The sequence below is a fragment of the Homo sapiens genome, chromosome Y, assembly GCF_000001405.40.
Source record: "Homo sapiens chromosome Y, GRCh38.p14 Primary Assembly".
NCBI classification, from domain to species: domain Eukaryota; kingdom Metazoa; phylum Chordata; class Mammalia; order Primates; family Hominidae; genus Homo; species Homo sapiens.
In genome coordinates this window covers 19,501,110-19,525,926 of record NC_000024.10, presented here as the reverse complement: position 1 = coordinate 19,525,926, position 24,817 = coordinate 19,501,110, and the positions used below count along the sequence as shown (strand labels likewise).

The 24,817-nt window shown below is 40.2% G+C and overlaps 1 pseudogene across 2 annotated transcripts in view; it reads left to right on the top strand.

Annotated features, from left to right (window-relative positions):
* The first annotated feature begins 22,773 nt into the window (after positions 1-22,773).
* Positions 22,774-24,817, top strand: part of BCORP1 (BCL6 corepressor pseudogene 1) — a 47,723-nt pseudogene continuing 45,679 nt past the window's right edge. For both annotated transcript variants that reach the window (NR_002923.2, NR_033732.1), the window contains exon 1: positions 22,774-22,895. The product of NR_002923.2 is annotated as a BCL6 corepressor pseudogene 1, transcript variant 2 (transcript). The remainder of the gene's footprint in view (positions 22,896-24,817) is intronic.

Sequence of the window (24,817 nt, the reverse complement as noted above, 5' to 3'; positions counted from 1 at the left end):
CCTTGACATGTAATGTCCTGTGATGCCTTAGGACTATGCAGAGAGTCTGCGCCAGCACGAGGCCCCTCATCAGATGCAGAATCTCAATCTTGGACTTAGCCTCCAAAAATATAAGAAATAAATTTATTTTATTAAAAATAAATTATCCTGTTTCAGGTATTAAGTTATAGCAATCAAAAATGAACTAGGACAGGTGTTAATTAAATGTTTTTTTTTGTTTTAAGTTCTAATTATTCACTGCTGATACAAATTGAGTACCCCTTATGTAAAATGTTTGGGACCAAAAGTGTTTCAGATTTCAGTGGCTTTTTTTATTGGAATATTTGCATATATTTAACCAGTTGAGCACCCATAATTCAAATGTGAATACAAAATGCACCAATGAGCATTTCCTTTGAGTTTTACGTTGGTCCTCAAAAAGTCAGATTTTGGAGCATTTTGGATTTCATATTTTTAGCTTAGTGGTGTTTTACCTGTATATAGCAAAATGATTAACTTTTCTATAACTTTGTACCCTGTAATGCTGCTATGATTACTTAGGTACAGTAGTTTAGTGTCATTGTTGACTTTTTTTTCTTCAGATTTTCATTTTGTCTTTGAACGCAGGCAGTTTTATTTCTTCCTTCCCAGTCTGTGTACCTTTTATTTTCCTTCCTTGTCTTACTACATTAGTTAGAATTTCTACTATGGTGTTTAGTAGGAGTGATGAGAGACAATATTATTTTCTTCCTCCTGATCTTAGAGGGGAAGCTTGTAGTTTCCCACCATTAAGTATGATGTTAGCTGTATGTTTTTCTAGATGTTATTTTTCAACTTGAGGAATTGACCCCTCTTTTCCCAGTTTGCTAAGAGTTTTATATTATTATTATGAATGGATGTTAAATTTTATCAAATGCTTTTTCTATTTCTATCGAAATCATCATATGGTTTTATAAAAAATATGTTACTGTGATATATTACTGATTTTTAAATGTGGAATAAGATTTGCATGCCTAGAATCCATCCCACTTTGACATGGTGCAATACTTTTTATACACTGTTGGAATCAATTTGCTAATATTTTGTTGAAGATTTTTGCATCCATGTATATTGGTCTATTGTTTTATTTTTTCATAAGTCTATTTGAATTTGATATTAGAGTAATGCTGACTTCACACAATGAGTCAGGAAATATTCTCTCTGCTTCTATTTTCTGAAATAAATTGTAGAAAGTGGTATGTTTTTAAAAATAAATGTATTTGTAAAACTCAAGCATCATCTTCCTGTCAATAGGAATGCATACAGAGTTTAATGTTTTTTAATGCATACACAGCTTCAACTTTGCAAGGAAAAGAATTCTGGAGACTGGTTACACACAAGAATGTATTTAACTCATACAATGGAAAATGACTAGCATAATAAATCTTACACTGAATATATTTTGTCACATTGTTTTTAGAAAAAGAATACTCTCTTTGAACTTTGTACCTTCCCCAATTATTTTTATTCACTTTTTGCCTTTACATCCTCTTTCATTTTATTAAAGTTGGTTATGATTCCTCTGTCTTATCTTCAGAAAGACAAAGGCCCAAGGAGACTTAAAGAGTATGTTAATTATATTTCTAATAAACTGAATTATATATCCCTAATGCATTTAATTAGGTTGGTGTTTAGTTTAACACTCAGTTCTTGCAATTATGTTGTTTTGAAATGCTTTATTTATTAAAACAAATACATTAATTAAAATACTAATTTCAACTCTGGTGGTCTAATAACAGAAGAGAGCAAGAGAAAATGGGAAAAAGAAGGAAACAATGGAGAGGGAAGAGAAGGAGACCAATGAACACACACGCACCCACATATGCACAGGTGTGTGTACGTGTGCATGCACACACACCCCATTCCTTTTGCCATCCCTTCCACATCATTATTACACTGGTCCATACATTTGTCTCTGGTTGTGCCCTGTATGTCCTCAGCCCACATGGATTTTCCATTACTTCCTGCTTCAGGCAGTCAATAGCTAGGAATAGGCATCTCTACCTGCTAGCAGCCCAGCACTCAACCAGTTGTGAGAGGCTGGCTGCAGGCTCCTGCATTGGGCTTAGGCCTCACTGCCCAACTGGAGAGGAAGAGTCTTTGACTTTGCCTTTGGGTACATTGACTAATTAAACTGTGTTCAGGATAAGTTGCACCGAATGTACCCATGCCGAGAGAATGAAGAGGATGCTATGGAAAAGTCAGTCATTACTTAGGCAGAGAAAGTGAAACTTCTGAAACAGAGGAGTAAGGGATGTGTATCTGTGATGGCACTTTCTGTTTCCCTTTAAGTAGAGATTTTGAGTGCATGTTAACACTCTTGCTGAAATGAAGGAGATAAGGATATCAATGGGAAAAATTCACAGCTCATACACATTTAATTAAGCAGGACCTGTGTCATCACTAGGCAAGGGAGAAGTCAGTTTACATTAGATCTAAACAGACAATGCTGGCAGCAGATAAATAACTCAGGTATCCTTGACATACTAAAACTATTATTGCTTTTGTGCTGTGATTCCACAGCATATAGGAACACAGGAAGAATGGCTGTAGGGACAAAAGGAACCCAACGACCAGAGATGTATCATGAAGCTAAATAGAATTAAGAGGAACCAGGACAGAATCCTCAGCTTTTACCACTGCCTGTGAGCAGAAGGGAAGACAAGGAACCTCAGTAAGACATGGACCCAGGAAGGAGCATAATAGCTTCACCTGGGAATAATTTGCCAGCAAGTAAGAGTACATACTATTTCATTGAACACAGGTTTAATTATGTCCATATTTCACCCATCTGAGTAAAGTGTTTTCGAGTGGTAGAAACACTAGTTCAAGGTCACAGAACAAACCAGGCAAGAACCTAGATCTCACTACTTCAGTAAAAAGAGTCAGAAAACAAAAGCAACTTCCAGATAGGGAGAGATCCAAGATACTCATGATTACCCAAGAGGCTTGATATTTTAGTCAATTAGTAAGCATCTACTAAGCATGTACTGTGTACATAGCAACATGCTGGGAATCTGGGGGCCACAGTGGTGTAAACCCTCAAAAGATCGAGCAGGGAAACAGTCTTTTTTTTGTGCCTAGCAAGGAAAGCTATGAAAGAGAGTGAGGGGCTATAGAAAGAGAAAACAAAATCAATCCCTTCTAAGGTCCCACTTTTAAATGCACCCTACAGTGCAGTTTATGGAAAGTCATCAAATCACTCTCCTGTATCCAACCTGAAATAAAGAGATAGCAAATTGTTCTCCTGTCATTAGGAGTGGAGGTGAGAGAGGCATCTTTTTACCTTCCGTGAAGGGTTAGACCTCATTTTCTAATATAGGCCGGGAAAACTATTTTAATACAAATTAAGGAGGCAACATAATCTCTTAAGCCTGAGAAAGAAACCTAGACAAAGTTGTCTTGGATGTTTTTCATATACAAAGTGCTTATTCGTGGATATCTTAAAAACCTACAGGAAACAGAATACTGGGAAATAAAGAAGTTTGTTTAAAGATGTACTTTTCTCTATGCTGCAAAATATTGCATCTAATTTTAGGCTTCAGTGGCCATAATGTCTGACCTTGACATTGTGGTGTTTCTGCTATATAATTTTACTGATACATACTGTTGGAACAATGCCAAAGTCAAAGATTCTGACATCTCTTTGAAGACATATAAGTCCCCTTAAAATTTCTGTCCATGCAGTGACTCACAGAGAAGGTTAACAGAAACCCTGATTATAGCATACAGAAACTTTGTGGCATGGTGGTGACATTAGATGACACTGTCTAAGCTACTTGCTGGCATTTTTGTTTTCACAGTTTTGGTATTTCCCAACCATAGGGAGGCAGTCTTGGAGAAGAATAACTCATATCTCATCAGGGACAATATTTGGATGTTTCCTCTTCTTATATTTTTCTCCATAAGTCTTCTCTATTATCTTTGCTGCTTCCCAACTTACTGAATTGCACACAGAAACAAAATTAGATAATGGATGTTGAAATAATAAGAAAAATTGACTATGTAATATATTTATTCCATGCATAATTATTTAACAACCACTAGTGCCTACCAAGATATTGAGCATTTATACAGGAAATAAACATTATCTCAGACACAATGAAACTCTTGGGAAGAGAACAAGAATAAATATATTAAAATATATGATATCCTAGTTCACAATGAATACTCCAAAAAATTAAGATGATAAAGGGGATAGAGAGAGAGGACATTATTTTAAACAGTAAATTATTCATTACAAATCTTGCATCGACAGAATAATATGCATAACTCGTGAATCAGTCAGCTCTTTCACAGTACTGCTATTTAACAAACTACCCTAAAACTTAATACTATGCATCAGTAAACATTTATTTCTCAATTATCTATGACTCATATATCTTTGGGTCAGCTATGGTGAGCTAATCTACGCTATGCACAATTGGACTTAACTCCAAGTGTCGGCTGGAGTCCAGGTCTGCTTCACATGTCAGCTATCTTTCATGAACGAGTTGAATATCTAGGACATATTATTCTTATGGCAATAGCAAACATTCAAGAGGATATAATGAAAATGCAATGACTCTTAAGACGTAAACTCAGAAGGGACACATTGCTACTTCTGATGACATTTTATTTCCCAAAGCAATCCTGTAGCCTGATCTCAAGAGTAAGAAGGTACGCTCATAAGATGAACTGCAAATTCTCATGACAAAGGATGTGGAGACAAGATAGGATGTCTCCTATCTTGAACCTGGGCAGATGGGCCATATGCCATTCCAATGCTAAGAATGAAAAAATTTGTTTGAAAAACGTTTTTCTTTTCTGAGCTTGCCAGGAAGTGAAAGAGGCAGGTAGGGAATGTGAGAAAATTCACCAGACACAGCAAGTTTGCTTTGAGTGGCACAAACGTAGCGTATGGTCCATAGTGGCCCAAAGAGTCATCACTTGGCCTCACTGTGCTAACAACTACATCTTTAGTGAATCTGATCAGCTATGTGTCATCTGGTGTGTAAAGTAACTGGACTCTGATAAGCAGGTGAGATTTTAAGCTTTTTCTTGAAATTCGTGTTTCTCTATTCCCAGTCCTGTCCCACATTTTTCAGGCCATTTTGTTGTATAAGATGGGAAATATCCCCAATAATCCTTTCAGATAATGATGATTTTTGAAACCCTGCCACCCCTCAGTAAACTCTCCAGAGCTCTTCAGTCAGTCAAGTACCACAATCTGGCTCATACCTGCAGATAGGAAAGCTGATTTTTTAGTTCATCATCATGGTTAATGAAATCTAATGACCATTATCCAAACTGATACCAATAGAAGAAATTTGTTACATAATACAAAAATTCCAGATTGCAACATCAAGACATATTTTGTAAGTAGAAAGGATAGAACATTGGGAGTGATAGATTTTTGTTGTTGTTATTGTTTGTTTGTTTGTTTTTTGAGACGGAGTCTCGCTTCATCAACAGGAAGGAGTGCAGTGGCATGATCTTGGCTTACTGCAACCTCCAATTCCTGGGTTCAAGCAATTCTCCTGCCTCAGCTTCCTGAGTAGCTGGGATTACAGGCACATGCCACCACAACCAGCTAATTTTTGTATTTTTAGTAGAGATAGGGTTTCACCATGTTGGTCAGGCTGGTCTCGATCTCGTGACCTCGTGATCTGCCTGCCTTGGTCTCCCAAAGTGCTGGGATTACAGGCGTGTGCCACTGCACCCGGCCGGGAGTGATATGTTTAATGGTGAGGGTCAATAGAAATTTAAGCCATCTTTACGTAGGAGAGTTCTGATGTGAGGTACCCCAAATTCTGTAAATAATAGTAGGGTAGAATTGGAAGTAGGACAAGCTAGATGTAACAATTGTTCTTTTTCTTTCTTCTTCTTTTTTTTAAATTTACTTTAAGTTCTGGGATGAATGTGCAGGTTTGTTACATAGGTATACATGTGCCATGGTGGTTTACTGCACCTATCAATCCATCTTCTAGGTCTTAATCCCCTTAAACATTAGGCATTTGTCCCAGTGCTCTCCCTTCCTTTTGCCTCCTGTCCTCTGACAGGCCCCACTGTGTGATGTTTCCCTCCCTGTGTCCATGTGTTTCTCATTGTTCACCTCCCACTTATGAGTGAGAACATGTGGTGTTTGGTTTTCTGTTCCTGTGTTAGTTTGCTGAGAATGATGGCTTCCAGCTTCATCCATGTCCCTGCAAAGGATATCAACTCATTCTTTCTCACGGCTGCATAATATTCCATGGTGTATATTTGCCACATTTTCTTTATCCAGTCTATCACTGATGGACATTTGGGTTGGTTCCAAGGATTTGCTATTGTAAATAGTGCTACAGTAAACAAAAGGGTGCATGTGTCTTTATAGCAGAATGATTTATGATCCTTTGAGTATACACCCAGTAATGGGATTGCTGGGTCAAATGGTATTTCTGCTTCCAGATCCTTCAGAAATTGCCATACTGTCTTCCACAATGGTTGAACTAATTTACACTTCCACCAACAGTGTAAAAAGCATTTCGATTTCTCCACAGCCTCATCAGCATCTGTTGTTTCCTGACTTTTTAATAATCACCATTCTAACTGATGTGAGATGGTATCTCATTGTGGTTTTCATTTTCCTTTCTCTAATCATCAGTGATGATGAGTTTTTTTTCATGTTTTTTTGTTGTTTTTTTTTGGCTGCATAAACGTCTTCTTTTGAGGAATGGCTGTTCATATCATTTGCCCACTTTTTGAAGAGATTGTCTGCTTTTTTACTTGTAAGTTTGTTTAAGTTTCTTGTAGATTCTAGATATTAGACCTTTGTCAGATGGGTAGCTTGTAAAAATTTTCTCCCATTCTCTAGGTTGCCTGTTCACTCTGATGAGAGTTTCTTTCACTGTGCAGAAGCTCCTTAGTTCAATTAGATTCCATTTGACAATTTTGGCCTTTATTGCCATTGTTTTTGGTGTTTTAGTCATGAAGCCTTTGCCCATGCCTATGTCCTGAATGGTATTGCCTAGGTTTTCTCCTAGGGTTTTTATGGCTTTGGGATTTACAGTAAATCTTTAATTTTTGTGTAAAGTGTAAGAAAGAAGTTCAGTTTCTGTTTTCTGCATATGGCTAGCCAGTTCTTCCATCACCATTTGTTAAATAGGGAATCCTTTCCCCATTGCTTTTTTTGTAAGATTTGTCAAAAATCAGATGGGTGTAGATGTGTGGTGTAATTTCTGAGGTTTCTGTTCTCTTCCATTGGTCTATATATCTGTTTTGGTACCAGTACCACGCTGTTTGGTTACTGTAGCCTTGTAGTGTAGTTTGAAGTCAAATAGCATGATCCCTTCAGCTTTGTTCTTTTTGCTTAAGATTGTCTTGGCTATAAGGGCTCTTTTTTGGTTCCATATGAAATTAAAAGTAGTTTTTTTTCCAATTCTGCAAAGAAAGTCCATGGTGGGTTGATGGTAATAAAATTGAATCTATAAATTACTTTGGGTAGTATGGCCATTTTCACGATATTAATTCTTCCTGTCCATGGGCATGAAATGTTTTTCCATTTGTTTGTGTACTCTCTTATTTCCTTGAGCTGTGGCTTGTAGTTCTCCTTGAAGAGGTCCTTCATGTCCCTTGTAAGTTGTATGCCTAGTTATTTTATTGTCTTTATAGTAATTGTGAATGGGAGTTTACTCATGATTTGGCTCTCTGATTGTCTGTTGTTGGTGTATAGGAATGCTCATAATTTTTTCACATTGGTTTTGTATCCTGAGCCTTTGCTGAAGTTGCCTATCAGCTTAAGGAGTTTTGGGACTAAGACAATGCGTTTGCTAAATATACAATTGTGTCATCTGCAAACAGAGACAATTTGACTTCCTCTCTTCTTATTTGAATACCCTTTATTTTTTTGTCTTGCCTGATTTCCCTGGCCAGAACTTCCAATATTATGTTGAGTAAGAGTGGTGAGAGAGCACATTCTTGTTTTGTGCCAGTTTTCAAGGGAATGCTTCCAGCTTTTGCCCATTCAATATGATATTGGCTGTAGGTTTGTCACAAATAGCTTTTATCATTTTGAGATATGTTACATCAACATCTAATTCACAGAGATATTTTAGCATGAAGGAATATTAAATTTTACAGAAGTCCTTTTCTGTTTCTATGAGATAATCATATGCTTTTTGTCATTGGTTCTATTTGTGTGATGGATTACATTTACTGATTTTCATATGTTGAAGCAGAATTGCATACCAGCTATGAAACCAACTTGATTGTGGTGGATAAGCTTTTTGATGTGTTGCTGGATTCCATTTGCCAGTATTTTATTGAGGATTTTCCATCGATGTTCATCAGGGATGTTGGCCTGAAATTTCCTTTTTTTGTTGTGTCTCTGCTAGGTTTTGGTATCAGGATGATGCACTTCATAAGATGAGTTAGGGAGGAGTCCCTCTTTTTCTATTGTTTGGAATTGTTTCAAGAAAGAGTGATACCAGTTTCTCTTTGTACCTCTGGAATAATTTGTCTGTAAATCTATCTGGTCCTGGATGTTTTTGGTTGGTGATGTCTGTTGGTGAGTTCTGTGGATGTTGATTAGGTCTTCTTGGTCTAGAGCTGTGTTCAAGTCCTGAATATCCTTGTTAATTTTCTGTCTCGTTGATCTAATATTGACAGTGGGATGTTAAAGTCTCCCACTATTATTGTGTGGGAGTCTAAGTCTCTGTAGTTCATTAAAAACTTGTTTATGAATCTAGGTGCTCCTGTATTGGGTGCATATATATTTAGGATAGTTAGCTCTTCTTGTTGCACTGACATCTTTAACATTATGTAATGCCCTTCTTTGTCTTTTTTTATCTTTGTTTGATTAAAGTCTGTTTTATCAGAGACTAGGGTTGCAACTCTTGGTTTTTTGATGGGTCTCCTGAATACAGCACACTGATGGGTCTTGACTCTTTATCCAATTTTCCAGTCTGTGTCTTTTAACTGGGGCATTTAACCCATTTACTTTTATTGTTAGTATTGTTATGTGTGAATTTGATCCTGTCATCTTAATGCTAGGTGGTAATTTTGCACATTAGTTGATGCAGTTTCTTCGGTGTCATTGGTCTTTATATTTTGCTGCATTTTTTCAGTGGCTGGTACCAGGTTTTCCTTTCCATATTTAGTGCTTCCTTCAAGAGCTCTTATAAACCTGGCCTGGTGGTGACAAAATCACTCAGCATTTGCTTGTCTGGAAAGGATTTTATTTATCTTTTGCTTATGAAGCTTAGTTTGGCTGGATATGAAATTCTGGGTTGAAAATTCTTCTCTTAAAGAATGTTGCGTATTGGCCCCCAATCTATTCTGGCTTGTAGGTTTCTGCAGAGAGATCCACTGTTATTCTGACTGGCTTTCTTTTGTAGGTAACCTGACCTTTCTCTCAGATGCCCTTAACACTTTTTTCTTCTTTTTAACCTTGGAGAATCTGATGATTATGTTTCTTGAGGTTGCTTGTCTTGAAGAGTATCCTAGTTGCATTCTCTGTATTTCCTGAATTTGCATGCTGGCCTGTCTTGCTAGTTGGGGAATTTCTTCTGGGTAATATCCTGAAGTGTGTTTTCCAACTTGATTTCATTATCCCTCCCTGTCACCTTCAGTTACACCAATCATTCATAGGTTTGGTCTTTGCACATTGTCCCATATTAATGGGAGACTGTTCATTACTTTTCATTTTTTTTCTCTAATCTTGTCCTCACACCTTATTTCAGTAAGTTGGTCTTCAGCCTTTAATATCCTTTCTTCTGCTTGATCAATTTGGCTATTGATACTTGCATATGCTTCACAAAGTTCTTGTGTTTTTCAGGTCCATCAGGTCATTTTTGTTCCTCTCTAAACTGATCATTCTAGCAAGCAGTTCCTCTAACCATTTATAAAGGTTCTTAGCTTGCTTGCATTGGGTTAAAACATATTCCCTTAGCTCAGAGGTGTTTGTTATTACCCACCTTTTGAAGCCCACTTTTGTCAATTTGTCAATCTCATTCCCCATCCTGTTTTGTGCCTTTGCTGGAGAGAAGTTGTAAGCATTTGGAGGAGAAGAGGCATTCTGGTTTCCAGAATTTTCAGAGTTTTTGTGTGGGGTTTTCCTCATCTGCATGGCTTATCTATCTTTGATCTTTAAGGCTGATGACCTTTGGATGGGGTTTTCTTGTGGGGGTCCTTTATGCTGATGTTTATATTATAGCTTTCTGTTTTGTAGCTTTTCTTCTAACAGTTAGGTCCCTCTTATGCAGGTCTACTGCAGTTTGCTGGAGGTCCACTTCAGACACTTTTCACCTGTGTATTACCAGCAGAGGCTGCAGAACAGCAAAGATTGCTACCCATTCCTTCCTCTGGAAGCTGTGCCCCAGATGGGCACCAGCCTGATGCCAGTCAGAGCTCTCCTGTATTAGGTGTCTGTCGACTACTGTTGGGAGGTTTCTCCCAGTCAGGAGGCACGGGGGTCAGGGACCCACTTGAGGAGGCAGTCTGTCCCTTTGCAGAGCTGGTGTACTGTGCTGGGAGAAATCCCTCTGTCAGGATCAGCTGCTCTCTTCAGAGCAGGCAGGCAATAATGATTAAATCCGCTGAAGCTGCTCCCATAGCTGCCCTTCCCCCAGGTGCTCTGTCCCAAGGAGTTGTGGGTTTTGTCTGTAATCCCATGACTGAGGCTATTTCCTTTCCTTCAGAGATGCCCTGCCCAGTGAGGAGGAATCTAGAAAAGCAGTCTGGCCACAGCTGCTTTGCTGGGCCCAGCCTAGACCTCCCAGCCTCCTTAGCACTGTCAGGGGAAAACCACCTACTCAGTAATGGTGGATGCCCCTCCCTGAACCAAGCTGGATTGTCCCAGGTAGACTTCAGACTGCTGCGCTGGCAGTGAGCATTTCACGCCAGTGGTTCATAGCTTACTGGGTCCTGTGGGAATGGGATCCATTGAGTGAGACGGCTTGGCTCCATGGCTTCAGCCCCCTTTCCAGGGGAGTGAATGGCTTTGTCTCACTGGGGTTCAAGGCACCACTGCGGCATTAAAAAAACTCCTGCAGCTAGCTCAGTGTCTGCCCAAACCATACCCAGTTTTGTCCTTGAAACCCAGGGCTCTGGTGATGTAGGCATACAAGGGAATCTCCTGATCTGCAGATTTCAAAAATTGTGGGAAGAGCATAGTAACTCATATGGGTAGCACAGTCCCTCATGAATTCCCTTGGTTGGGAGAGGGAGGTACTCAGCTGCTTCCACTTCCTAGATGAAGTGAAGCCCCACCTTGCTTCTGCTTGCCCTCCATGGGCTGTGCCTCCCTGCTTAAACAGTCCCAATTAGAAGAACTGATTACCTCAGTTTGAATTGCAAAAATCACCCACCTTCTGCGTTGACCTCACTTGGAGCTGCAGACCAGACCTGTTCTTATTTGATCATCTTGGTCCCTCCTGGTAGGCTCTTCTAATAGTTGTTCTTTAGAACAATACAATATGGAGAGTGTGGAGCATTCTGGAAACTGCAGCATAGCCTCAGATTTTATTGGCAACTTTGCCAAAATTCCAATGATTCCTACTCTGGTCTAACAGACCCTTCTTGGGCCCTTCTCTTGTATTGTATTGTACTGTACTGTACTGCACTGTATTGTATTGTATTGTGTTTTATCCCCAACTACATTAACTTTTAACACTTTTATTGAAGTGAAACATACAGACACACAAGTATACACATAGTTAGTTCACAGCTTGCTGAGAAACAACATCCATGTAACCAGAACTCAGTTTAAGGAATAGAAAATCACCACTTCCCTAGAAATTCCTGATTGCCTTGCTGTCACTATCAGAGTGATGATATTCTATCTCTAAACTGGGTTCTGGTTACATGGATGTTGTTTCTCAGCAAGCTATGCATTAATTATGTGTAAACTTATATGTCTGTAACTCTTAACTTTTAACAACATTGATTGGCTTTATATATTGTGTATTTTATAAAAATAAAGGTTGTTTTTGGTTGGCTTCTCTTGCCTAACATTATGTTTATGGAATTTATTTACTGTTGTATATGATTGTAGTTCATTAATGCTCATTGCTGAATATTCCCTTGTGTGACTATACCAAAATTAAATAATCTGTTCTACAGTTGAAGAACATTTGGCTACTTTTGGTTTTGTCATTAAGAATAATGTTTTCATCTATATTTATGCACATGTGCATATATTTGGAGGCTACACATATTATTTATGTAGACATGTAAAATACGTGTGCAAAAATATAGCCTCGTGAGTGGCTGGGACCACAGGTGTGACAAATTTTATCAATTTTTTTTCACTTCCACTAGGCATATATGAGAGTTCCCCTTGCCAGCCCTCAGAATTTTCTCACTTTTATGTTTTAGCCATTTTAGTAGCTAAAAATGGTGGGATTCTTAAAGTTCCAAAATGGCAGAAACAAATTATTTTTCCTTTAAAAATTCTTCACAGTATCTCCTGTAAAAATATCGCAGGGGAAAATGTTAAATAATCTGCTAAGAAAATTCTATTAATTTATTTTTATTTTCAATAAAATATAGAGTTCAGTACTTGATCTTTAATAACACTGGAATTTGGAAATGGAAAAAATAAAAATCTGAATTCAGCTTCAAGCCTTTCCCCATTTCCCAAGTCTGCTTTATCTCTCTCTTCTACTTCTAAAGCTGTCTTAAATTACACCGTGTAAACTGTTCCCTTCCCACTGAATACATTTCTTCTCCTCTCTGCCCTTGGAGCTTAAGCTCCTAGGCTCTACCTGGAGTAATCTTTTTGCTTTTCAGATCTCATTAGACATCCAGCCCCAGGTAAAATTTCCTCCACTGGGCCTCATTTAAACTGATACTTCTTAGCATATTTGGGTATAATTCTTTCCATTCCATTGTGCTTATGGTCACAAACACTTGTCATTTGATGTTCTGAAGTGATTTTACATTTAGGTCCTCATCCTAATGCTTCATTCTTAGAAGGCAATGACCCCAAAATCTAGGAAGGTGTTGCCACACTTGAGTTGCTCAAAAAACACTTTTTTGCCAGATACAATACCATTAGCTTTTGTCTTCTAGTTTTAGGGGTCAAGAAAATAGTGCAGAAGTTAGGGCTCATAAAGTCTAAATATAACCAGATAAGCACACAACTGAGTAATTGTCCAATGCTGAAAATATTTCAAAGGAAATCTTGCTGGTCACTTCTAATTAGTCTAGAATATCCTGGCTGAGCAGTAGGATCTACTGATAGCTTCACAGACTGCCTCAGTGTCACCTGGGGTGCCACTTTAGGATGCAGATTCCTGGTCTCATGCCTTTAAAATCTGACTTTATAGAATTGGAATGGCAATCTCTATCATAACCTGTATACAGTTAACTCTGATGTGCAGAGAGGTTTGGAAATCAACTGAGTCTGAAAATAAGGTTCTCAATAGAAAGAAACTATCAAGAGATGTTGAGAAGATACTGTGATAAAATAATTTGGATTTAGCATTGAAGTTTAAGTCTTAGCACTAACCCTTAGGTATGAAACCATGGGCAAATTATCAACCCCTTTGCACCCTGGGGCAACTGTTTTACTTACTTTACACCAGGGATCTGTTTTACTTACTATTTGCTGACTAACATATTACCCCAAACATCACATATTAAAACACAGCTTATTTTGCTCACAATTCACTGGGTCAGGAATTGTTAGAAGGGCCAAGGGTAGTAATTCTCTTTCACCATAGTAAAGACTTGGATGGGTTGCTGTCAGATATCACCTCGGGTCGTAGTTATCCAAAGGATGTCAAAAATGGCACACTCACATGGCCAGTTGATGGCAGCTGTTGGCTGGAGGATTAGGTGAGCTGTCTACAGGGGCACCTATGATGACTCTCATATGGCAATTAGAGTTCTTTTTTCAATTTTTAATTTTTTAATTTTACATGGTGCATAGTAGAGGTATATGTTTATAGAATATGTAGGCTATTTTGATACAGGCATACAAAGTGTAATAATCATACCTGGGTAAATGAGGTATCAATTGCCTCAAGCATTTATACATTATGTTACAACAAACCATTTGTACACTTATAGCTATTTTTAAATGTATAATTAAATTATTATTAATTACAGTCATCCCATTATGCTATAAAATAATAGATCTTCACTATTTTTTTGTTCCATTAACTATCTCCACTTCCTCCTCCAATGCACTACTACACTTCCTAGGTTCTCATACCCATCCTTCTACTCTCTATCTGTGTAGGCTTAATTGTTTTTATTTTTAGCTCCCTCAAGTAAGTGAGAACATGCTAAGTTTGTCTTTCTGTTCTGGGATTATCATATTTGACTACAGTTTACTCTGTTATTGCAAATAATAGGATGTCAATCTTTTGCATGGCTGCATTATACTCCATTGAGTATACTTATATTTTCTTTATGCAGTCCTCTATTGATTGACACTTAGATTGCTTCCAAATATTCCCTATTGTGAACAGTGTTGCAACAAACATGGGAATGCAGATATCTCTTCCATATACTGTTTTGGTTTTTGTTGGGTATATATCCAGCAGCAGGATTGCTGGATCTATTTTCAGTTTTTTGTAGAAACCTCCAAAATGGCCTCTATAATGATCATCCTATTTTACATTTCCACCAACATTGTTTGAGAGTTCCCTTTTGTAACTGCTTATTTGGACAAAAGTTATTTTAATGGGGGTGAGATGATATCTCATTGTAGTTTTGATTTTCATTTCTCTAATGTTCAATGATGTTGATCACCTTTTCATAAGCCTATAGGTCTTCTTTTCAAAAATGTCTATTCAGATTTTTTTGGCTAATTTTTAAATTGAATTATTAGATTTTTAAAAATACAGTTGTTTAGCTTCCCTATATATTATGGTGATTAATCCCATGTCAGACAGATATTTGGCAAAGTTTTCTCCCACTCTGCAGGTTGTTTCTTCACTCTGTTAATTGCTTTCCTTTATTGTGCAAAAGCTTTTTAGCTTCCTGTGACCTTATTTGTCTAATTTTGCTTTGGTTGCCTGAGCTCGTGGGGTAGCACTCAAGAAATTTTTGCCCAGTTCACTGTCCTGGAGAGTTTCCCCAATATTTTCTTGTAGTAGTTTCATGGTTTGAAGGCTTAAAATTAAGTGGTTGAGCCATTTTGATTTGATTTTTGCATATGGTGGTAGATAGGGTCTAGTTTTATTTTTCTGCATATGAATATCCAATTTTTGCAACACCAGTTATTGAAGAGACTGTCCTTTTCACCAACTTATGTTCTTGGCACCTTTGTAAAAAAATGAGTTAACTACATATAGGTCTGTGGATTTGTTCCTGGGATCTGTGTTCTGTTCCACCAGTCTATGTGTGTGGTTTTGTGCCACTACATCGTGCTTTGATTACTATACCTCTGAAGTATAATTTGAAGACACGTAAATATAATTCTTCCTTTTTTGTTCTGTTTGTTCAGGATTCTGAGTCTTTTGTAGTTCCACATAAACTTTAAGATGGTTTTTCCTATTTCTGCAAAGAATAGAATTGATATTTCAACAGAGATTGCATTGAATCTGTAGATTACTTTGGATAGTATGGACATTTCACAATAATGATTCTTGAGAATTCTAAGCATAGACTATCTTTCCATTTTTTTGTGTCCTCTTCAATTCCTTGCACCAATATTTTACAGTTTTCATTGTAGAGATATTTCAGCTTTTTGCACAGGAATAAGTTAATCAGGGTGGAGCCAAGATGACCAAATAGGAACAGCTCCAGTCTACAGCTCCCAGCGTGAGTGACACAGAAGATGGGTGATTTTTGCATTTCCAACTGAGGTACTGTGTTCATCTCACTGGGGAGTGTTGGACAGTGGGTGCAGGACAGTGTGTGCAGCGCACCGAGTGTGAGACGAAGCAGGGAGAGGCATCACCTCACCCAGGAAGCACAAGAGGTCAGGGAATTCCCTTTCCTAGCCAAAGAAAGGGGTGACAGATGACACCTGGAAAGTCGGGTCACTCCTGCCCTAATACTGCACTTTTCCAATGGTCTTAGCAAAAGGCACACCAGGAGATTATATCCCGTGCATGACTCGGAGGATCCTATGCCCACAGAGCCTCACTCACTGCAAGAACAGTAGTATGAGATCAAACTATAAAGTGGCAGCAAGGCTGGGGGAGGGGTGCCCACCATTGCTGAGGCTTGAGTAGGTAAACAAAGCTGCCAGGAAGCTCGAACTGTGTGGAGCCCACTGCCATTCAAAGATGCCTGCATGCCTCTGCAGACTCCAACTCTGGGGGCAGGGCATAGCCAAACAAAAGACAGCAGAAGTCTCTTCAGACTTAAATGTCCATCTGACAGCTTGGAAGAGAGTAGTGGTTCTCCCAGCACGATGCTAGAGATCTGAGAACAGACAGACTGCCTCCTAAAGTGGGTCTCTGACCCCCCAGTTGCCTAACTGGGAGGCACCCCCAAGTAGGGGCAGACTGACACCTCACACAGCCGGATACTCCTCTGAGACAAAACTTCCAGAGGAATGATCAGGCAGCAACATTTGCTGTTCACCAATATCCGCTGTTCTGCAGCCTCTGCTGCTGATACCCAGGCAAACAGGGTCTGGAATGGACCTCCAGCAAACTCCAACAGACTTGCAGCTGAGGGTCCTGACTGTTAGAAGGAAAACTAACAAACAGAAAGGATATTCACACCAAACCCCCATCTGTACGTCACCATCATCAAAGACCAAAGGTAGATAAAACAACAAAGATGGGGAAAAAACAGAGCAGAAAAACTGGAAACTCTAAAAATCAGAGCGCCTGTCCTTGTCCAAAGGAATGAAGTTAGTCACCAGAAATGGAACAAAGCTGGATGGAGAATGACTCGGACAAGTTGAGAGAAGGAGGCTTCAGATGATCTAACTACTCTGAGCTATGGAGAATGACTCGGACAAGTTGAGAGAAGGAGGCTTCAGACGATCAAACTACTCTGAGCTAAAGGAGGAAGTTAGAACCCATGACCAAGAAGCTAAAAACCTTGAAAAAAATTAGACAAATGGCTAACTAGAATAACCAATGCAGAGAAGTCCTTAAAGGACTTGATGGAGCTGAAAACCATGGCATGAGAACTATGTGATGAATGTACAACCTCAGTAGCTGATTCGATCAACTGGAAGAAAGGGTATCAGTGATGGAAGATGAAATGAATGAAATGAAGCAAGAAGAGAAGTTTAGAGAAAAAAGAATAAAAAGAAATGAACAAAGCCTCCAAGAAATATGGCACTATATGAAAAGACCAAATCTACGTCTGATTGGTGTACCTGAAAGTGATGGGGAGAATGGAACCAAGTTGGAAAACACTCTGCAGGATATTATCCAGGAGAACTTCCCCAATCTAGCAAGGCAGGCCAATAGTCAAATTCAGGAAATACAGAGAACACCACAAAGATACTCCTCGAGAAGAGCAACTGCAAGACACATAATTGTCAGATTCACCAAAGTTGAAATGAAGGAAAAATTGTTAAGGGCAGCCAGAAAGAAAGGTCGGGTTACCCACAAAGGGAAGCCCATCAGACTAACAGCTGATTGCTTGGCAGAAACTCTACAAGCCAGAAGAGAGTGGGGAACAACATTCTCAAACAAAAGAATTTTCAATCCAGAATTTCATATCCAGCCAAACTAAGCTTCATAAGTGAAGGAGAAATAAAATCCTTTACAGACAAGCAAATGCTGAGAGATTTTGTCACCACTAGGCCTGCCCTAAAAGAGCTCCTGAAGGAAGCACTAAACATCGAAAGGAACAACCGGTACCAGCCACTACAAAAACATGCCAAATTGTAAAGACCGTCAATGCTAGGAAGAAACTGCATCAACTAATGAGCAAAATAACCAGCTAACATCATAATGGCCAGATCAAATTCACACATAACAATATTAACCTTAAATGTAAATGGACTAAATGATCCAATTAAAAGACACAGACGGCAAATTGGATAAAGAGTCAAGACCCATCAGTGTGCTGTATTCAGGAAACCCATATCATGTGCAGAGACACAAATAGGCTCAAAATAAAGGGACGGAGGAAGATCTACCAAGCAAATGGAAAACAAAAAAAGGCAGGGGTTGCAATCCTGGTCTCTGATAAAACAGACTTTAAACCAACAAAGATCAAAGGAGACAAAGAAGGCCATTACATAATGCTAAAGTGATCAATTCAACAAGAAGAGCTAACTATCCTAAATATATAAGCACCCAACACAGGAGCACCCAGACTCATAAAGCAAGTCCTTAGAGACCTAGAAAGAGACTTAGACTCCCACACAATAATAATGGGAGACTTTACACCCCACTGTCAGCATTAGACAATGAGATCAACGAGACAGAAAGTTACCAAGGATATCCAGGAATTAAACTCATCCCTGCACCTAACTGACCTAATAGACATCTACAGAACTCTCCACCCCAAATCAACAAAATATACATTATTTTCAGCGCCACACCACACCTATTACAAAATTGACCACATAGTTGGAAGTAAAGCACTCTTCAGCAAATGTAAAAGAACAGAAATTATAACAAACTGTCTCTCAGACCACAGTGCAAACAAACTAGAACTCAGGATTAAGAAACTCACTCAAAACCACTCAACTACATGGAAACTGAACAACCTGCTCCTGAATGACTACTGAGTACAAAACAAAATGAAGGCAGAAATAAAGATGTTGTTTGAAACCAATGAGAACAATGACACAAAATACCAGAATCTCTGGGACACATTCAAAACAGTGTGTAGAGGCAAATTTATAGCACTAAATGCCCTCAAGAGAAAGCAGGAAAGATCTAAAATTGACACCCTAACATCACAATTAAAAGAACCAGAGAAGCAAGAGCAAACACATTCAAAAGCTAGCAGAAGGCAATAAATAACTAAGATCAAAGCAGAACTGAAGGAAATAGAGACACAAAAAATGCTTCAAAAAATCCATGAATCCAGGAGCTGGTTTTTTGAAAAGATCAACAAAATTGATAGACTGCTAACAAGACTAATAAGTAAGAAAAGAGAGAAAAATCAAATAGATGCAATAAAAAATGATAAAGGGGATATCACCACCGATCCCACAGGAATACAAACTACCTTCAGAAAATACTACATACACCCTCCCAAGACTAAACAAGGAAGAAGTTGAATCTCTGAATAGACCAATAACAGGCTCTGAAATTGAGGCAACAATTAATAGCTTACCAACCAAAAAAAGTCCAGGACCAGATGGATTCACAGCCAAATTCTACCAGAGGTACAAGCAGGAGATGGTACTATTCCTTCTGAAACTATTCCAAGTACAGGAGGGTCTGCTCAGCCTTGTAACATGGGTACGAGTCCTGAGCAAGACAGATGCACACTGAGAACATGAGCCTAAAGTGCCATGCCAATGTCTACGGTTAGGCATTGGAGAGAGCAAACGGGACCTAAATAGACATCTTTTGAACTTTTGAGGAGATAGAATCAGAAAAGTGGAGGGAAACAGCCTTCATTCAGCAGCAGGAGACTGATGTGTGGATGATTTGGGGTGCCGATATTAGATTGGTCTAAAAACTTAATGACCATGAAGACATTAGTGCAGTTCTTTGCAGAGCTGCTCATTCATGGATGGATTACAGATCAAACATTTGGTGCCCTATAAATGTTACTAATTCGCAAAATTGTTTTCCTTTTTTTTTTCAAAACCATGTTGCTCTGGATTGTGGATGTTATCATGTTATTGGTAGTAGGTAGAACAAGACAATTTGAATTTCAATTTAGGGAGCTGTATGTATCAAGAATGTTCAGTTTAAGATGTGTGTCAGGCTAACATGCACTAAGACAAATTAAGACACTTGGTGCTCAGTTGTCCATTAAGAACTAGAAATGTAAACATTGATAGGCAAATACAAAGACAGAAAGTGTAACTGTATTTGAGAAAAAATATGGGATTTTGTTTAATTTAATACTGGGCAGAAATTTTGTGAGATGTTGCTAGGGACCAAAGCCCATTTAAAGGTGTGAAGGTGGTTCCATGAATATCTGTCTATCCATGCTTAAGGACACAAGCTGAATGGGAAAACCTCTTCAATGCATAATGAAGGCTTTTCTGATGAGAGAGAACAACACTGTGAAGGAAGCATGGGTTACACAACCACATTCATGCACATAACATTTTTGTTCACAGTGAAATAGTGCATCTTTTTCAGAAACAGAAACAGGAAACAGAGGGCAAAGTGACGTACCTGAATGTGGATGGCCCTCAATTCTTCAAATTTATTCTGGTTATTGTTTCTTTCATTATGGAGCAGAAAAGAGGGTATGTGTTGAGCATGAAGCAAGATTTCTAAGAGATTTTGAGTTATTGACTTTGAATGGATGGATGATGATGGAAAAAGGGAGGAATATCTTTCCACTTTCTGAACCTGAGTAGTGGATGTTGCATATTTTGTGGTTCTGTTGTCTCAAGTGATGCAGGGTCTGGTGGCCTGGGAAAGACAAAGCCAAAAAAAAAATGCTTTCATTTTTGTATACTTCCCCCCCAACCCCTCTGGAGAACCATCAGGAAGGCCTGTGTAGGGTGGATTAGCATAAGCCCCCACCAACCCAGACATGCATGTAAATTCTGCCCTGCTTCAAGGATTTTTCACTACCCCAGCATAGCAGGATTTAAGCTGGCAAGACTGCTGTTGGGTGGAGCCCATGTTGGCTGCTGGCTGGGCCTCAATGCCACCAGAACCCCAGGATCACCAGGACTTTCCTCAGAAGGTCCAGGTAGCCCTGGGAATGCCATCCTGGAGGTTTTGAAAAACATGGGAGGGGCAAGGGCTTTTGTGCGTTTACGCCTGAGGTGTGGTATCTCATACAATAGCCCCTTCTTCACCCCTGTTCCCCACCTCCCACCAGCCCCAGGCCTGAAGGAGCTCAGAAGTCCCTTTTGTTGTTGTTGTTTGCAATGGAGTCTCACTCTGTTGCCCAGGCTGGAGTGCAGTGGCCCAATCTTGGCTCACTGCATCCTCCACAACCTGTGTTCAAGCGATTCTCCTGCCTCAGCCTCCGAAGTAGCTGGGATTGCAGGCACCTGCCATGATGCCCAGCTGATACTTGTATTTTTAGTAGAGAGGGGGTTTTGCCATGTTGGCTAGGCTAGTCTTGAACTCCTCACCTCAGGTGATTCCCCCCACTTCAGCCTCCCAAAGTGCTGGGATTATAGGCTTAAGCCACCGTGCCTGCCCAAAAGGTCCTTTATTAGGCCTCAGTGCAATTCTCATGTGTGCATGAGTGCGTTGAGGACCACACATGGGGCAGGTGAGCTCTTTTCTCTGCAAGAGGGGACCCTCCTGCATCAGGGCTTCTTGTGCCTGCTGTTATGTCTCAGCCCTGCTAGGGATCTAGTCAGAATGGCAGGAGGCCAAGTTTGGCTACCACTCATACTGACTTTTTTCTTCAGTGTTTTTGGCCAGAATTCCCGATTCCCTCTGGAAAGTCTGTTCTTTGCTGAGGCACAGGTAGCTGAGCCATGAGAAGACGTTCTGGTCAGAGTGACTGGCCTCTTTTGTCAGTCCCTGAGGTGGACAAATTGCCCTGGTCTACAGCTATCTAGACTGCTTTTGGCAGTTGTCCCCAGTACATTCTGCCAAGGGATTGTATGAATTTTTGTCGAGTGAGAGTCGTTGTGGGTTTTAATAATCGAGCTGTTCTCCCTTGGTTATTTTTTAGCACCCTGTCACCCCAACCAGCATCGCCTGCTCACTCCTGGCGATTAGATTCGGCGGCAAGTCTGTCCGAAGATCTTTAACCTAGCAGAAAACATAACTAGTGATCTCAAAGATGATGGGGGGGAATGATTAATGTACATCGACACAGGGCAGATAGAGCTTTTAGGTCGTACTTGTCATATTGATTTGCATGGATACAGAGTTTTGCTAATGTTGAAAACCTGAAGCTAAACTATATTTTCATTGTTTATGTGCAACTAGAGGAACTGCTAGGTAAAGAGTTTCAGATCAGGGCTCCAGATTGGGGTGCCAGGAGCAGGGCATGTGAGATCACCAAGAGATTCAGAGGCCTCCACTTTATTTTATTTATTTATTTATTTATTTATTTATTTATTTATTTATTTATTTATTTATTATTTTGAGACAGAGTCTCGCTCTGTTGCCAGGCTGGAGTGCAGTGGTGCCATCTTGGCATACTACAACCTCCGCCTCCCGGGTGCAAGCAATTTTCCTGCCTGTATCCTGAGTAGCTGGGGCTACAGGCTCGCACCACCACACCCAACCAATTTTTCTATTTTTAGTAGAGACGGGGTTTCACCGTGTTGGCCAGGATGGTCTGGATCTCTTGACCTCGTAATCCACGAGCCTCGGCTTCCCAAAGTGTTGGGATTACAGGTGTGATCCACCGCGTCCGGCCCCGGGGTCACAACTTCGAGGTGTTGTTTGTCCTTGTGATTTCAGAATGTGGGGAGGAGTACCATTTTAGGTGGGGGAAGGTTATGAAAAGGCACTATTGCTTTGAAGAAAGGAGGGTCTTTTAATGCTAATAGTAACTGCCACAGGGGTAGATTTATAGGGCCAGTAGGGGTCGCTCCGTACCATTTCTGGCACCTTCCTCCAACACCAATTTCTGTTCTTCAGAGCTCTAGCTATCATGACAGGAATACAATAGACTTTTATCGCAAGAGTTTTTTACTTTTTACTTTTTATTTTTTTTAGGCAGCCTCCTTCTGCCTTGCTCCCTCTCCTTCCCCCTTCCGGAAGCTATAGACACTTCCGAGAGAGCGCGAACTTGCGGTGCACTTTGCATGCGCGCCGCGGGTAGGACTGGACGGTCGGATTTGTAGGCAATTCTGACACCGAGCTCCCGGGCTCGGTTGGTAGAAGATCGCTTTGGGAATCCTCCTACTCTACGAGGACCAAGTAAGACTGGGTGTGTTAGGGGAAGTCAGCAACTTGAGTTCTGTCTCGCAGTGCCTGGGCGGAACGTCCCCTCTCCTGAGGTGTTGGGATGCTATGAGAGGGGTTGAGAGGGAAGGCCCACCCCACCCAGATCTCGGTGCGGGGTGAGGTCGGAACTATGTCAGATTATCGAGGCTAGAAAGTCTTTAAAAGTCACTTGCGGAGGGCTGGCCCGCAGACCAGGGCTGCCGGGCCACGACGGCGTGCTCGGCTGGCAAAACGAGTTGACATCATCCCTCTGTCCCTCCTGCCGCTAACTGCTGGGTCGCACAGCGGAGCCATTTCGCACATCTGGAGTTTTGGGGTTAGGAGAAGCAAGCGGTCCAAGGCTGGAAAACCAATAGAGGTGGCCGAGGATCTGGTGCCCCCTGCGCGGCCTCACGGAGCCGAGCTGGCGGTAACCCTGGGCATTGGAGCGTCCATGAGAACTAGAAACTGGGAATAGTGTGGGAACAAACATCGGAACGGGAACCGATGTTTGCCACTCCTAAGCTTCAGTGGTTTTTGATTTCTAGGGCGAACTTCTGGGGAGAGGAAAAGATAAAACAGTTTGCTTCGTTAATTGGCTTTTTGTGGCAGCGCGAGAGTTGTAGGGCACAGTACCTGGCTTGCAAGCCACTCCCATTAGTCTCTTCATTCACCTGCTTCCCTTCCCCCTCTCTGGTAGTTTTGCTTCAGCCCTGTGACTAGTGTAAAAGTACTTTTTGAAGACATTAGCCCAAGGCAGATAGATTTGTTCACTACGTGGCAAAACTAGAGCGTCAAAGCCTAGTTTCTAACAATGAGTTGGAGACCTGAGAGTAGCCAACCTACCTTTTTTTTTTCTCTCTCTTCCTATTCTGGGCTCCTGGAGGAAGGGAAAGTGGGGTCTTCTGGGAACTAATGACCTCACACCAGGGAGGTCAATTTCATAGTAGAGAGTGGGATATAGGAAAAAAGTATGAAATTTTAAAACGTGCTAAAAGATTACTGCAGGTAAGAGAAACTGGGTTCAAGGCTTCTTGTGAATTTAGTTTCTAGGACTGAAATGGTATCTTTTTACTGTTATTTAGGGAGGAGTATTAGGGAAGTCTTCCAAATTTCCTCAAGGATACGGCGTGAGAAAATAATGATTTCAAGTGGAAAAATTAGACCAGCAATTGCCTTCTCTGTGCACTTCTACGTTTGAGCTTGAGTTTTGTCCTTACGGATAAGTTATTTAGGGCCCTCCAGCCTCAGTAAGTTTTTCATTTGTTAAGATTGAACAGTCATCCATCTTTAGGACCAAAGAACACTAGGGACATTATTGTCCTAAGGATAAATCGTGCCTTAGCTAACCAGTCATATTCTGTGGATTGCGCCTTCATTTCTTGCTGCTACTATTCCCTCTGACAGTGATATGCCAGTGTCCTGGGACTGACCAGTTAATACTCTCCACTGAGGTTATTTCTCTGGGTTTGCCTCTTTCCCTTTATGTCAGTTCTTTGTAATTTAAATGAGTACATATTGAAAGGACTGAATCTTTTTTTTCCCCACTAAATAGGATCATTTTATGGTTTAGACATTGGTTCTAAAGCTCTTAACCCTTAGCACTATGCTCTTTGGCAAGTGTTTTTTTTTTCTTTTTTTTTTTTTTTAGACGAGAGTCTTGCTTTGTCACCCAGGCTGGAGTGCAGTGGCATGATCTTGGCTCACTGTAACCTCTGCCTCCCAGGTTCAAGCGATTCTCTTGCCTCAGCCTCCCAACTAGCTTGGATTATAGGCGCCCACCACCAAGGCCAGCTAATTTTTGTAGTTTTAGTAGAGACAGGGTTTTATCATGTTGGCCAGGCTGGTCTCAAACTTCCGACCATAGGTGATCTGCCTGCCTCAGCCTCCCGAAGTGCTGGGATTACAGGCATGAG